The 14,612-nt window shown below is 34.4% G+C and overlaps 1 protein-coding gene across 4 annotated transcripts in view; it reads right to left on the bottom strand.

Moving 5' to 3' along the window:
• Positions 1 to 14,612, bottom strand: part of TMTC2 (transmembrane O-mannosyltransferase targeting cadherins 2) — a 447,961-nt gene that overhangs the window by 65,081 nt on the left and 368,268 nt on the right. For all 4 annotated transcript variants that reach the window (XM_017018884.3, NM_152588.3, NM_001320321.2 and 1 more), the window contains one exon: positions 7,955 to 8,018. In XM_017018884.3, the coding sequence (XP_016874373.1) occupies positions 7,955 to 8,018 (64 nt within the window). The remainder of the gene's footprint in view (positions 1 to 7,954; positions 8,019 to 14,612) is intronic.

Below are 14,612 nucleotides of genomic sequence, written 5' to 3'. Positions count from 1 at the left end.
AAAAAAAACCCTTCTAGGCAAGGATTTCATGACCAATAACCCAAAAGCAAATGCAATAAAAATAAAGATAAATAGCTGGGACCTAATTAAACTAAAGAGCTTTTTTGCACAGCAAAAGAAACAGTCAGCAGAGTAAACAGATGATCCACAGAGTGGGAGAAAATCTGCACAATCTATACATCTCGCCAGGGACTAATATCCAGAATCTACAACAAACTCAAATCAGTAAGAAAAAATCAAACAATCCCATCAAAAAATGGGCTAAGGACATGAATAGACAGTTCTCAAAAGAAGATATACAAATGGCCAACAAACATATGAAAACATGCTCAACATCATTAATGATCAGGAAAATGCAAATCAAAACCATACTGCAACACCACCTTACTCCTGCAAGAATGGCCATAATCAAGAAATCAAAATATAGTAGATGCTGGCATGGATGTGATGAACAGGGAACATTTCTACACTGCTGGTGGGAATGTAAACTAGTACAACTACTATGGAAAATGGTGTGGAGAGTCCTTAAAGAACTAAAAGTAGAACTACCATTTGATCTAGCAGTCCCACTACTGGGTATCTACCCAGAGTAAAATAAATCATTATCTGAAAAAGGTATGTTTATAGTGGCACAATTCACAATAGCAAAATTTTGGACCCAACCCAAATGCCCATCAATCAACGAGTGGATAAATAAACTGTGGTATATGTATATGATGGAATACTACACAGCCATAAAAACAAATGAATTAACAGCATTTGCGGTGACTTGGATGAGACTGGAGACTATTATTCTAAGTGAAGTAACTCAGGAATGGAAAACCAAACATCGTATGTTCTCAATGATATGTGGGAGCTAAGTTATGAGGACGCAAAGGCATAAGAATGATACAATGGACCTTGGGAACTTGTGGGGAAGAGTGGGAGGGGGGCGAGGGATAAAAGACTACAAATATGGTGCAGTGTACACTGCTCGGATGATGGGTTCACCAAAATCTCACAAATCACCACTAAAGTACTCATGTAACCAAATACTGCCTGTACCCCAACTTATGGAAAAATAAATAATAAATAAAAAAATAAACAAAATATATGGATGTATTTGTAACTGAAAAAACCAGTCAAAGTGAAATATATATGTGCAGTATTAAAACATATTTTACTCATAAAGTCAATCTGGTGATTGTGGGATCCACATAAAATCAATGCCTAAAAGTCAGGAGACATATGGTATGTAGTATTCCCACATCACAGAAGCTTGTGGAAAGTTTTGGGAGAGACCATGTGGTTCCTCCCCCATTTACAAGCAGAAATGTGGTTTAACTGCTTCCCAGACAAATTATTATTAATCTTGTCATTTTTTTCCAACAACATAATAATCCTTTATATGTTAAAATCTGAATCTGTCCCATTAAACTTGGTTTTATGTTTTTTTGTTCTAATTAGGGTTGAACAATATCTTTCCCATTAGAACATACATATATAGGTGGGAAATTTTATATCCTTTCAATTAATAATAGCTCAATTAAATAATCTTTTCCCCCAGAGCTCAGTCTTAGTGGTTATTTCCACTCCACAGTCATTCCCCTACTACCATATTCACTATAAAAATGATAGTCAAATTGAAAGTAATACATTACAGAATATGTGGACTACCTCATAACACAGCTGCTTTTTGTCAATAAGCTCATTTATTTGATTCTTCTCTTTCCATGTTTCTCAGTTTAATCTTTTGACATATAATCATTGCTAAAGAGCCCAAATGGATAACACTGGCTTTGATTTTATAATAATGTTCTGAAATAATTTATGTTCTAAGTACCTGGGAAAGACATAATGCATATATGAAGTTCTCTATTGATAACATAATCCTTGAAAGATATTCTCCTTTTAATTCATATATACTAAATACACATGGAATATTTATAAAATATTCTAAATATTAGAAATGCAAAATGCAAATACAACAGTTAGCATATAAATCAGAGAGCTGAGTCCAAACTAGAAGTAATCTACCAGTGATCACCAAAAAAATGTGTCCTCATTGGTACTTATTTATTCCATGTAGATAGTACAGGCCTGCATCAAATATTACCTACTGTGCTCCTCAGAACATGCAGTTGTCCATGAGTCTTTAACATAAAATTCTATCCTTTCTTCCCCCACAGGATTAGCAGATAACCAAATGACCATAACTTAAATAATTTACTACCTAAAGTTACCTCCCCTCTATTTCTAGTTTTGTTTTCCCCTCTGTATCTTCACAGTCTCCTTTTTCTTCTTCAGTCACTGGGGAGGAAGCAACCCTTAAATATCTCTGATATTTCCTTTGCACCCCCCACTCACCTTGGACACATTTTCAGTCTCATATTCACATGCACACACACATTTTTAGTATCCTATTTAACACACAGACACAAACATCTCAACATGTATCTTTAATTTGTAATAAATTCAAATATTTATTTCCAAACATCATTACTGCATAAGTCTTACACCACCCACTTCCAATTCTTCATCTCCTTAACTGCTCACATCACTTATGTGAAACTGCACTCCCAAAGGGCACAAATATCCTTACTCTCAGAAGTTGATGGATTTTTTCTGTCCTTGTTTTTCTTTTTTTTACAGCAGGGTTCCCTGCTCATTAACTTTGGTTTCTATGCCCTGTCACTGTCTTGGCTGCCTTCCTTATTCGAAATTTAAAATGTAGAAATTCCCAAATGCCTGAAATTGATTCTCTTCTCTTTTGTATATTCCCTCCATTGTTGATGTTACCCAATTCTTTGGTACCATTTCCTTTTTGCAAATGACTCCCACATCTCTATCCCTAACTATGGCCTTTCTTCTAACTCCTTCCTTGATAGGAATGCCCCATGAGAATATTAGAATAAGCAAATTCTCTCACTCAGAATTTGCTCAGTCTAAACATTTGGTTCTTAGAATAAAGCCCTCTGATTACAATTTTTTTATATTTGTGGTATTTCTTTTCTTCTAGGTTACCTAAAATCAAAATTTTGGAACATATATGGTGGCCAACTAATTATCTTAATCAGATCTTTTGAAATAATCTATTGCTTAATTTATCTTTATGTTATTTTCCATTCCTCTCAATTTCTGTACTTTAGTTTCACTACCTTATGCCTATACTATTACCATGACCTTTTATTTAGTTTTCCCAAGGCTGTATCTCCCAACTCTATTTCCTCAAACACAACTGACATTTTTCAATTCATCATATAAATCGCCACTCTAAATTACTATTTTCATTATGTCACTTTGCTTAATAACATTTTAAAATACAAACTCCACATTTTTAGTATGGTATCCACTACCTTTCATGTAGTTTTATGCTAGTTTCCATTTCTATCTTCCCCTATACCCTTCCTTTCCATACCCTCCCCTTGCCCTAGTTCATGTGTATAGTTCTCCCTGCCAGAATTCTCTCCTTGTTCTTGCTAAAATCCTTACTTATAAGCATCCTATCATTTCAACCTTCTTTTAGCTTGTCAACTGTGACTCAGTGCCTCTTCAGCTCAATCCAGCTGAATGTCATTTCTCTCTCCTGTGCGCTTTGCTTACACCTAGCTCATGTGTCTCACAAAGCACTTATTAGATGCCATTATTTACTGCCCTGATGTTTGAGGATTGAAATTCCGGTGTTCTCTCCTCTACTCCCTCCCCACATTAGATTGTACATTTCTTAAGGACAAGGTTAATTTTTCATAACTTTCAAATCCTACTACATTTGGCACAGTCTTACATAAAGCTGGAACTTGATAAAAAATAAGTTGAATAAATTCATACTAAAAACAATTACATTCCCCAAAATACAAGATGTACAGATCTATCATTGGTAATTACCCTCTTCTAATTCTAGAGTTTACTAAAAGCCAAGTAAAAGCAGGTGACTTTGTAGTATGCAAATTTCCCATTCTTCACATTAACCATTTTTTAAAAATCCATAAGTTAATGCAGAATTTGGCTTAATTCCCACAGGAAGAACAAAGCAGTTTCATTTAATATCCCCTCTAGTCCTTGAGAGTCAGCATTTTTTCATGCCCATTAGTGAGAGAGAAGACAGAGAAGACTGTTGTCTATTTAAAGTAACCTCCAAAGAAAGGTCAATTTATTTAAAACCAAAAAAAAATTAAAACTAAAAAAACTTAAAATGGCAATTTCGGTAAGGAGTTTTCCTATTATAGAAACATGTTTTAATGTATTATAAGGTTTAATTTTAGGACAATCAGCCCCAAAAATCAAGTAAATAAAATTTTAAAATGGTAATGGTATCATTTTGTAATAAATAGACTTCTCTAACTATGTATTTTGGTAAACAACAAGGTATTAAACATCTCTGATAAAGAGACAGTATCAGAATATAAAACTTATTTTGTGCCTGTTAATTTAGACATCTTTCATTATTTTAGTATTTGATCACTGGAATTCTTCATATATAAAATGATGCAAAAATACATTTAACAATTTCAAAGTAAATTATGTGGAAAATATGGCTTTCATATCATAGAAAAAATAAAGAAATTCATCATGGGACATATTGAAGAAATGGAATAGGTATTTTATTAAGAAAGAATATCCTACAGACAATCAGCAAGCTATTTAATGTGACTGTAATGAAGGTTGCAGCTTCATATTTTACTTTGTATAGTAGTGACCTGACATGAACATTGCAGAAACATTCACAGAATCTCCCACATACAGCTACAGATTTTTACCCTCTCAGGGGTACTTAAAAATAGAAGAAAATGCTTTAGAAGAAAAATTAAGAGTAAGATTAGATTACTGTGTAGGGGATAAAACTAGAAAAGACAATGGAACTATTTAAATAGAAGACGGCAGTTGAAGTCTGTTCGCTATGCTATCATATAGGCAGGTAACAAATTAAGTTAAAAGCAGAGAAATAACAAAGAATGTTTTTTATGAATAAAGGTAATAAACAGCTATGAACAGGATAAATGTTAAATGAATGCTTTAAATCAGATCAGATGTGTCATTGCTAATAAATCATTACACGGTTATTGTTTAAATAGGTCTCTTCATTTCAGAACAGAAATTTATATTACTATCTTGTCTGATCTTGGAAGCTAAGCAGGGTTGGGCTGGTTAGTACTTAGATGGGAGAAATTTATATTATTGCCATGGTTGTATTTTATCACTGTTTCCTCTGTGCTGTGGTGTTTTACTCACCTAGACCACATACTGTAAGTCAAAACACAATTCTGAAAATAGATTAGGAAAAAACCACATCTGTTGATCCATCAATGGTAACATCATTTATTTACTGTTAAATATGAACATTTTATTCTATCCCATCCATTTAAAAAGTATTGTTGCCAGATAAGGAAAGTATCATTTGAATAAACATATTTTCAAAGGCAGTCTGGAGTGGTTTTATGAAGAAACATTTTGAGGGTTCAGAAAAAAAGGGCTTTGAGTTGGAGATTAAATACTGATTTTATGATTTGGTTAGTCTTTTAAAATTAACTATTTCACAAATCAGACTCAAGTCTTGTAGTATCCAAGTGTCTTTCATTTTTTAGTTCAGGTCAGATAGCTCAGGTAGTTCTTCTCTCAAGAATCCATTGTAATATGCTGAAGATGGTCATTTGACCAACCACTTGACCAAAAATCAACATGATACTCAAGTGACTAGTACTCAAAAAACAATTGCATTTAACTATCATGAATTATGTATATTCACAGCATTCTATTAATGTGAAGGCAATAAAAAAAAAAGAAAAACTCTGATCTCTGCCTTTAATGAAGTTGTAATAATAAGACTTCAAATTCAACCCTTTTCCTAGAAATACTACACAAAGCTGCCCAACTAGGGCATTTACAAAACCATGCCTAGTGCATGCCACCCCGTTCCCTGCTGTAACTCTTAACCCACTTGTGCTGCTCCAGCTTTCTCCAAAGCACTTATCACTGTCTGACATACTAGCTCCTTCTCCTCAGACTAGATTGTAGCTCCTAACCATTTTGTTCACTGCTGTATAGCCACTGCCTAAAGTAATACCTGGTACTCTGTAAATATTACTGAATAAATAAAATGACTATCATTATTTAGGTTTTCCAAATTTCTGGCTTGCCTTTCCTCTCTAAGATATTTTCCACCAAGCTTTCTCTTATGTATTCAGTGACCTGGGTTACAGTGTGATTCCATTTAGTTTGGATGGTGGGTGAGTTATTAACTTCTCAGCCCTTCCACAGAATAGGGATCACAAAGGTATCTGTGGGTTGTTGTGAGAAATGAAGTACTTAGCACAGTGCTTAGCACATAATAATAAGTGCTCAATAAATTTTAGCTGTCATTGTTCTTAACATATGATTATTAAGTTATTTTCTTCTGTTGCAAACTGCCTATCAATTCTTGAAACATCTCATAATTAATGTGACAGCATTCAGAATAGCCACCCAAAGTATGGTTCCTTGTAATACTTAGTATTTTAAGCTGAAAAAAAAAACAAAACTGCAGAAGAAGGAGGGTTATTTTATAACTTTCTCCCTCCCTTCTCCCCTGTGGTAGGTAATAAGACCCTCATTAACACTTTATCTCTGAATACACAGGGAAAAAGAGAAGAAGAACAAACAGGACTTTCTAAGTTCCTCCCAACTGATTACCATGAGATCATAACCTTTTGTCTTCTAATCATACTTCTGCATGATGTCTATAAAAAATATTTTCCTGGGTCATCATTTCTGAAGGCTCCCATATCAGGTAAAATGTATATTAAATACATTTGTATGCTTTTCTATTGTTAATCTCTCTTTTGTTTTAGGGGTCTCAGCCATGAGCCTTAGGATGCTTAAGAAAAAGATATGTTTTTTTGCCCCTACAAATAAAACTTCGAGGCGTTGAGATTCAGGGCTAAGGTTGCAAGTGGATGAATCTCCTGAAAAGAAAAATAGCTACCTCCCACATAGGTCTCTTTCAGGGAACATTAATCCTCCTCTTTGTGCTCCCAGAAGACTGTATATACCTCTGTATAAGAATCACTACACTGTATTTCAATTAGTTGATTGTGTTCAGTCTTGTCTGCTACACTGTGTGGTCCTTTAAGATACAAAATCTCTGTATTCTACCACAAAGCAGGCACTCTATAGATGCTTGCCCAATGGATGAGTTACTATAAAGAAATGAGACTGATCCCATTATTTGCACTCACATCACATGTGCACTTTCATTACTGTTACAAAATTACATTTCCCAATAGATGGTCTTGATGTGAAGAACAGGGTAGAAGATTTTAGCATTGGTGAGAGATGCAGAAGGTATATGAAAATAAAAGCAATGTGTTGGAGTTCAGAGATGTGTTGCAAATAAAACATGCTTAGAAGACCGAGGCAAAACCAGTTCTTATTTTCTTATAGATGGTTACTCTATTTCAATAGAAAAGATCTAATTTATATCCATCTTACTTTATAGAAGCATGATTACCCAGAGAAAAATTGTAATAAAAACATTCTTGATAAAGTTGAAAAGCACAGTTATTAGAAATGAGGGCTGTGGAATAGAAAAGAGGCATACAGCTTGAGGTCTGACTATATATGAGAATCAAACAATAATAGGTATTTAATGCCACAGCCAAAAAACCCTTCAAGGAATTGATTTTAAAAGTTATCCAAATACAAAGTATTTAGAGTGATGCCAAAGCCGGTGTTCAAGTGATAAAAATCTTATGTTGCTTTATACAGGCTAGAAGACAGCAAATCTACCTCTAGAAAAAGAAGCTTGAGGCCGGCAGATTTTACTGTTGAATTAGCTGTTTAGTAGGTATTCAAAATAAGAGCTCAGAGAGAGAAAGGGAGAAAGAAAAAACAAAACAAAACAAAACAAAAAACAAAAAACCAGTATCATGATGCTTCTTACACCTATCATATGCTTGGAGTCTATCCCTCTGAAAATGTTTCTCATTAGGGAAGTACTTACATTAGGCCTCAGCCTGGCTGCCAGATCATAATACTTCTCAGCTGCTTCATTGAGGCTAGCCTGTCTGTAAAAGAAAAAATAAAATAAAACTATATCATATATTTTAGAATTACAAATAGGATCACTGTGCAGTAAAATAATGTTAATTTTTAAAAAAATTCTGGTCACACCAAACAATAAATTGCCCAAGCAGAAAAAGACTTAAAAATTGAGTGTTTGCATTGCACTTGTTAATGTATTTAAGGCATTATAAATAGTATCTTAACATAATCCTATTCAGCGGGTGTTATTTCACATTTACATATTAGGAATTAGAAAAGTTATCCTACTTTTCCATGCAAAACTAGGTAATATATTATAGTGGTGGGGTTCTCCAGCATCAACATGATACCCCAGAAAAATCTCAATTTTAAAAATAAATTGTCAAAATTAGTAATTATTGCTTTCGTTTTATAAAAACAGTAAAGATCTGCAGGACTTTCAAAATTCCACATCTGTCTAGAAAGACACTTTCTTTCCAGTATGGAGGGAACTTTCCATGTTTTCCTGTGTAGTTAACAGAAAAAATAAAAAGTCCAGATTATGTGTCCCCTTGGACTTTGGACACCAGGGTTATAGCACATGACTTAACCTCAGCTAAATGGATGTTCTCGTTACTTAGGACTTTCATTCCTAAGTGACAGAAAGATGAAAGCAAGGCCAGAATTCATTCGCAATGGTAGAAGCAATGGGACTATTTACTAGCCAGACTCTTCCTGTAAAGAACTGCTTTTGTATATCTCACTTCTGGGCCACTGAGGCTACCTTGTTTCCTGCCGATTTAAGCCTTCCAGCTTACAGTGAATTCTGTAGCTCCCATAGCCTTCAAATAGCTACAGTCAGTTTCTCTTGCTCACAGCCAAATCCTGTTAGTAGCGCAACTGACTTGTACAAATAAGATGTGCACTGAAATTTACAGACAGATTTGTTCACTGCCTATTCCTGTGATTCACAGAAAAGACCTAGGTTCACCCAACTCATTACCAGAAGCAGGGTTCTAAGGAAGTCCAGCCAGTCGTTCTTTAATATACAATATATTTTTTGATCATATCGTGCTGCTTCAGAAGACCTTCTAAGATGGCAGGTAATAAGATCTAAGAAGCTTGCGGAGGTTGAGCTGGAATCTGGTGACAATATTTGAAGGGTACAGAAAAAATGCTACAGGAAAATGCCAAATTCAATTTCAGATGATGTATATAGCATATCTATGATGTGACAATAATGGTAAATGGCTGGGGGTCCTGCAGTTAAAATGGAGTGGTGTTCTCTTGAAGCTGTGATGTAAAGAAGCTATTGAGACAAGAAGATGACAGGAAAAGGATGAAGAGAACACAAAAATTAACTTTCTCAATTAGAAAAACATATTCAAGTTTTAAAAGAGAAGGTTAACTAGCCATATCTATAAAAGTGAATTTGTACTTTGGTCAAGCCAAATACAAACTATAAAAACATACCCCATGCAACCATATAAATTATGGAAATAACTGAAGATAACATCTCTCTGGAGTGTAGGACATATTTTTCTAATTTTTCAATGAAAAATAATTAAAAACACTGCTATTTTTAATAGAGGTTATAAAGAAAGTAAAAACCCTTGACCTAAGGCTCTACTGGACCCATGACATGTTACAACGTGCTGTTGCAATTTATATTCTCATAAATGTTAAAGCTCAATTTCAATGTCAAGAGAAGTACTTTAGTTTGGTAGGAAACAGTAAAAATTCCCTCACTAGGGTATTTAATAAAGGTTCCCTCCACCAAATTATAGAATCAATTTGGTACAGATTCATTTGGAAATCTGAACCAGAATTCATTAGGTCATGCCCTGGAAAGGTTTTCTCCCGAGGAAAATAAAAGGCATGCAGGTAGGAAATTGGAGTAACTTAATACTACAAAGAAGTCAGTTACTTTGAAGTGAGATCAACCAATAGATAGATGCCCAACATGGAAAGTATAGCTACTATTAATATTCATCTTTATGGACATTTAATAATGAGGTAGATAAGGATCAAAAGAGAAACTGGGGAATCCATCAGATAAAATGCCTTGAAAATAATAATAAACTTAATTTTTAAAAGGTTTTACTGCCCCCCAAAATGGTTATTAGTTTTTAAAGTCTTCGTATTATTCAGTGCTTTAGTTCTCAAAGGAAATATCTAGGTTAGAAAACTTAATTTCTTAAGCTAGAAGTAGAATTGATGAAATTCTGATGAGGTGGGAAAAAAACCCCACTAGGATTTACTATATATGTCATATAACTACACAAATTAATTTTCCCTCTAGGACCTTGCTTCTAATATTAAACAGTCTTTATAAACTACTAATCAGCATGTGTTTATGGCAGAACATGGAAAACTGTAGGGAAAAGAATACGTCAGTTGTACCCACGGAATGCTCATTTATATCCTCATTTTATTCTCTAGACAAAGGAGAATAACTCATGAGGAAGTGTCCAATGCCCATTTTACAGTGTTTGCTGTATTTCATACACGGCTCTGCACACAGCATCCTGGGAGCACTTAATAAATCTTAACTGTAGGGATGATTGAATCATTAATCAATATTTGAAAAGTAAAGAATTTAGCAGTATTCTGCCAGTTGCTTAGAGATTCTACTAAATATTGTCAAGAACTTCAACCATAACGTTGTTAGGGACTGATCGCAGGACTCAGGTTCCCGAGACTATTAAAGCAGACAATAAAATAACACTTCCTGCATACTCGTATCCCTTCTTCCTTCCCTATTTCTTTTTTGGGACAGAAAATTTCTAAATCCTCTATCCAGGAATAGATTATTTCATTTACCAGTTACAATACCACCATGAAGCAATTATTATTATTAACCACATTTTAAAAACGAGGATAATGCAAAAACAGTGCCAGATACCCACTTTCTTACTTCCTGAAATATCTCATTTTTAAAAGCTCACAATTAGATATAGTGGAAACTTTTCCCAAGTGTCCAAGTATTAAGAGAAGGCTTTGAAGGTGAGTGAAGAGGAAAGCAGTGGCTCTGCAAGAAATCTTGCTGGCCAGATGTAAACAACTTTGCATTCTGACCAAAACACACTTTACAAAGCCAGGAGTGAGGTAGTGAGAAGGAAAAATCATTCATACCAGGAACCCACAATGGATCCAGATGGGCAACTTGCTCCGTTTAACATGCCACCCTAGGAGTCAACATTGTTATGTCACATATCTGGAGCATTAAATATTTAATCCCTATGCCAACAATAGACAACAACTGGAGACTCAGACGGAGGCTCCTTTCTCATTACCAACTCCTACCTATCATAGCTGTTGGGACCTCCCACTCTTCACATTACCTCTGGTCTCTCAGGGCCAGGAAGGGTAAGGAAGAAGAAAAAAGTCCACACAGTATTTGTGAACTGGACTAGGAAGTAAACCCTGAATTCCCAAGAAATCACTGGAGTGAGTTGATTATATTTTAAGTCTTTAGATTCAGGGTTTTTTGTTTTGTTGGTTGGTTTTGTTTTTTTACCATCAGTGAAAATATACTCTCAGATCGAAAGCAAACAGACAATAACAAAACTCATAAACAAATTTCATCATTTGCGTACTGCGGAATTCCATTTTTGTACATGGGACTATAAAATTTGCATCTGTTAAATATATATATTTCTTATATCTAATTCCACTCCCTGGTGTTATTTTAGAAAAGTATATTTTGGAACACATGTTTATGGCCCAACAGTCTTATAAAGAAAGATGTAAAGAGAAAGTTGGGAATCAATAATGTAATAGAATAACTTAATATACCCTATGAAATGTTTGAAGCGAATCTGATTAAAAGAACCACTTACGATTAACCACATTTTTATGTATTCTGTGAGAATTATAAAACTGCTAAATTTAAAATTTCTTCTTTAGAAATATAAATAATAAAAACTAGTGGCATTTAGAAGTAAAACTCTCTAACTACAATTATTGATAGTTGTGAATTGTCAATTTGAATTAAAAATTAATATAAAAACCACGGATACATACAAAAGATAATATTTCAGTAAAGTCTTGGTAATTATTTTCAAGAATAGCTTATGAGCATTTTTTTTTAACTGGAGAGAGATTGTTGTTCATGTAACATAAAAACAGAGGAAATTAGCTGGGTTCTCCTGGATTCTTGCCAGGCTCTGATGCTTAGTTTTAAGTTACTCAAAGCAGTACTAAATTTTAATTCTAGTTGATATGTTATACAGTAGGAACAGAAGTAGAACTGAAATAATCAAAGACATAAAAATGTACAGAAGATCTTAAAATAGTGAAACCAGAGTCATACATATGTAAAAACAATGGAGCAGAAAAGATCCTTGCAATGAAACTTCTACAATAAATTGTTTATGACCATTAAGCCTTCTTAGATGAAAACTTCTCTGTCAAGACACTGAAAATGGCTTCTGAATTTTAAAGGAAAAGAGTAGAGCGGTAAAGAAAAAGTGTAGCAATAAGAAGAAAAAACTACGCTGACAATATAATTTTTTAAAAAGTCCCTCTGAGAAATTCCTTGATGCCCCATGACAGTTTAAGACTATTCTTTCACGGCCTCAAACTGTTCGGGGGCTGCTAAGGGCAGAGTTAAACCCATATCTAGAAAGATTATATAATTATGTGTAGTGGGAAAAATTAAAAGAGAGGGTATGTGTATCGGCAATGTCAACTGTTATATTCACATGTAGTAAATTACCACTTAGGTTCAAGGTGTAATGTTTGGATAAGGAGAAGGAATTGCAATGGGTGAAAGAGAAATGGCAGGATAGAACTTGCCTGAAGTGGTGGTCCAAGAATCAACGTTCTAAGCTTCTCCTGGGATTTCCTAGAAGCGTAAAATCACAAGTACTACCCCAATCTACTAAATCATAGCATGCATTTTAACAACATTCCCCAGGTGTTCACTTGCATGTTAATACCGGAAAGGCACAGGGTTGAAAGACGCCCACCTTCAACCTCATCTGCCACCCCACTTTGCTCTGAAGACCCTATGGTCCATTACAGCATGGTTGAAATAAGAGCCTTGTGATTGTAAATTGGAAGTAAAATATAACTTATAATTGAAAAATCCAGTGACTTTCGCGTGGTTTTGGTAAGTTTGGAAGTGTTAAGGAAGAAAATGTATGGTCCAGAGGGCGCTGGAAATATATACACACATCCCCAAGATACACACACGTAAGCACACACAATCTGATTTGTGAAAACAATTTGATTCTGTTTTTTTTCTCATTTAAGAATTTAAATTTTATGTGACTTCCAGTAGAATGTATAAAGAAGTTAGCGTTTCTAAATTTTATGTTTTCAATATATTGATTACATAATATTCTGTGATTTGAATATAAAAATTAAAAGATAATGATTCTTTCTCATATATTCACTCTGCTCTCTAGAAATTAGGGAAGAAATTAGAACCAGTTGGTATGGTAGAGTTTTGCTATTTTTACTACCTTTGGGGAACAGTGATAGTTTCCACCCTTAGGCCTAGAAAAAAGGAAAGTGCACACGTCTCAGCTGCATGCGTGACCCACATCAGAGACTAAATCATGATGATACTTCTAAAAATGTTAATATCTCTTTGAGAATACAAAGTTGGAGTTCTCCAATGACTCTGTCTACTTTACAAAATTTATTATAAAAGTATAATTTAATAATATTGGAAAGCCCTCACTACTGAGCATTTATTTACACATTCCACAATCTGTTACTCTGTAAATTGTTTTCTCTATCAATAAAGTCAAGAATCATAGCATGTAAGCCATCAGTCAGGTGTAAAATATAAGGGAGCCAATGTGACAAAGTAAAAACAGTATCATACTACATTAAGCCTTAACCCCTGCTTTACCAGTGGTAAATACAGAGAAGAGTATTGACTTTGAGTCTCAGTATGCTCATCTATAAGATAGGAAGATTTATAACGTTTACTTCACAGATGTACACTCAGAGGTAACAGAGTGACAGACATAAAAGCAAAGTATAGTGCCAGGCAGACAGAAGATGTTTGAACAAATGCTACTTTTATCCCTTACCCTGTAAGTAGATTAAACACACACACATACACACACACACACACACACACACACACCCCTTCCACTAGAGCCTATGAATGCTGTAAACCATGTAAAGTTTGTTTTTAGTCCCTCTATATTTCCTCTCAGATATCAAGTATCTTCATGTACTCTCCAGCTTCCAGTTCTTTGGAAAAGCTGAATAAATCCATTCACGGAAAATGTTTCTAATAGAATAAATGATTCAATAGTTTCTTCTCATAACGCTATAGATATAACTCTACTGTGTTCTAGCATTTTAAATTCCTTTATTTTCCTTTAATGATAACCAATCTGCTTTTTTATGCTCTCATCTGGAAGCATCTAGTAACTTTTCACTTTGTTTGAAGTACTAAAAATGTCACCATGTATTGTCAACATTCTTTATGAGAGGCCACTCAACATCTGTGATCATCTTCCCTATGAATACAATTGGTAATCAGCCAGAACAAGGATCCCACATTCTCAAGCAAGGCAGAAGCCAGAAATTCACTGATCTTCTAACTTTCGTTTAGCACAGGACTCAGTTTCCACTCATCAGATGCAATCTCAAGAGAATGGAATTCAGAG

The sequence above is a fragment of the Homo sapiens genome, chromosome 12 (genome assembly GCF_000001405.40).
Source record: "Homo sapiens chromosome 12, GRCh38.p14 Primary Assembly".
Taxonomy (NCBI): domain Eukaryota; kingdom Metazoa; phylum Chordata; class Mammalia; order Primates; family Hominidae; genus Homo; species Homo sapiens.
The sequence above is the reverse complement of the archived record's forward strand: the minus strand, read 5'-3'. Positions and strand labels throughout refer to the sequence as shown.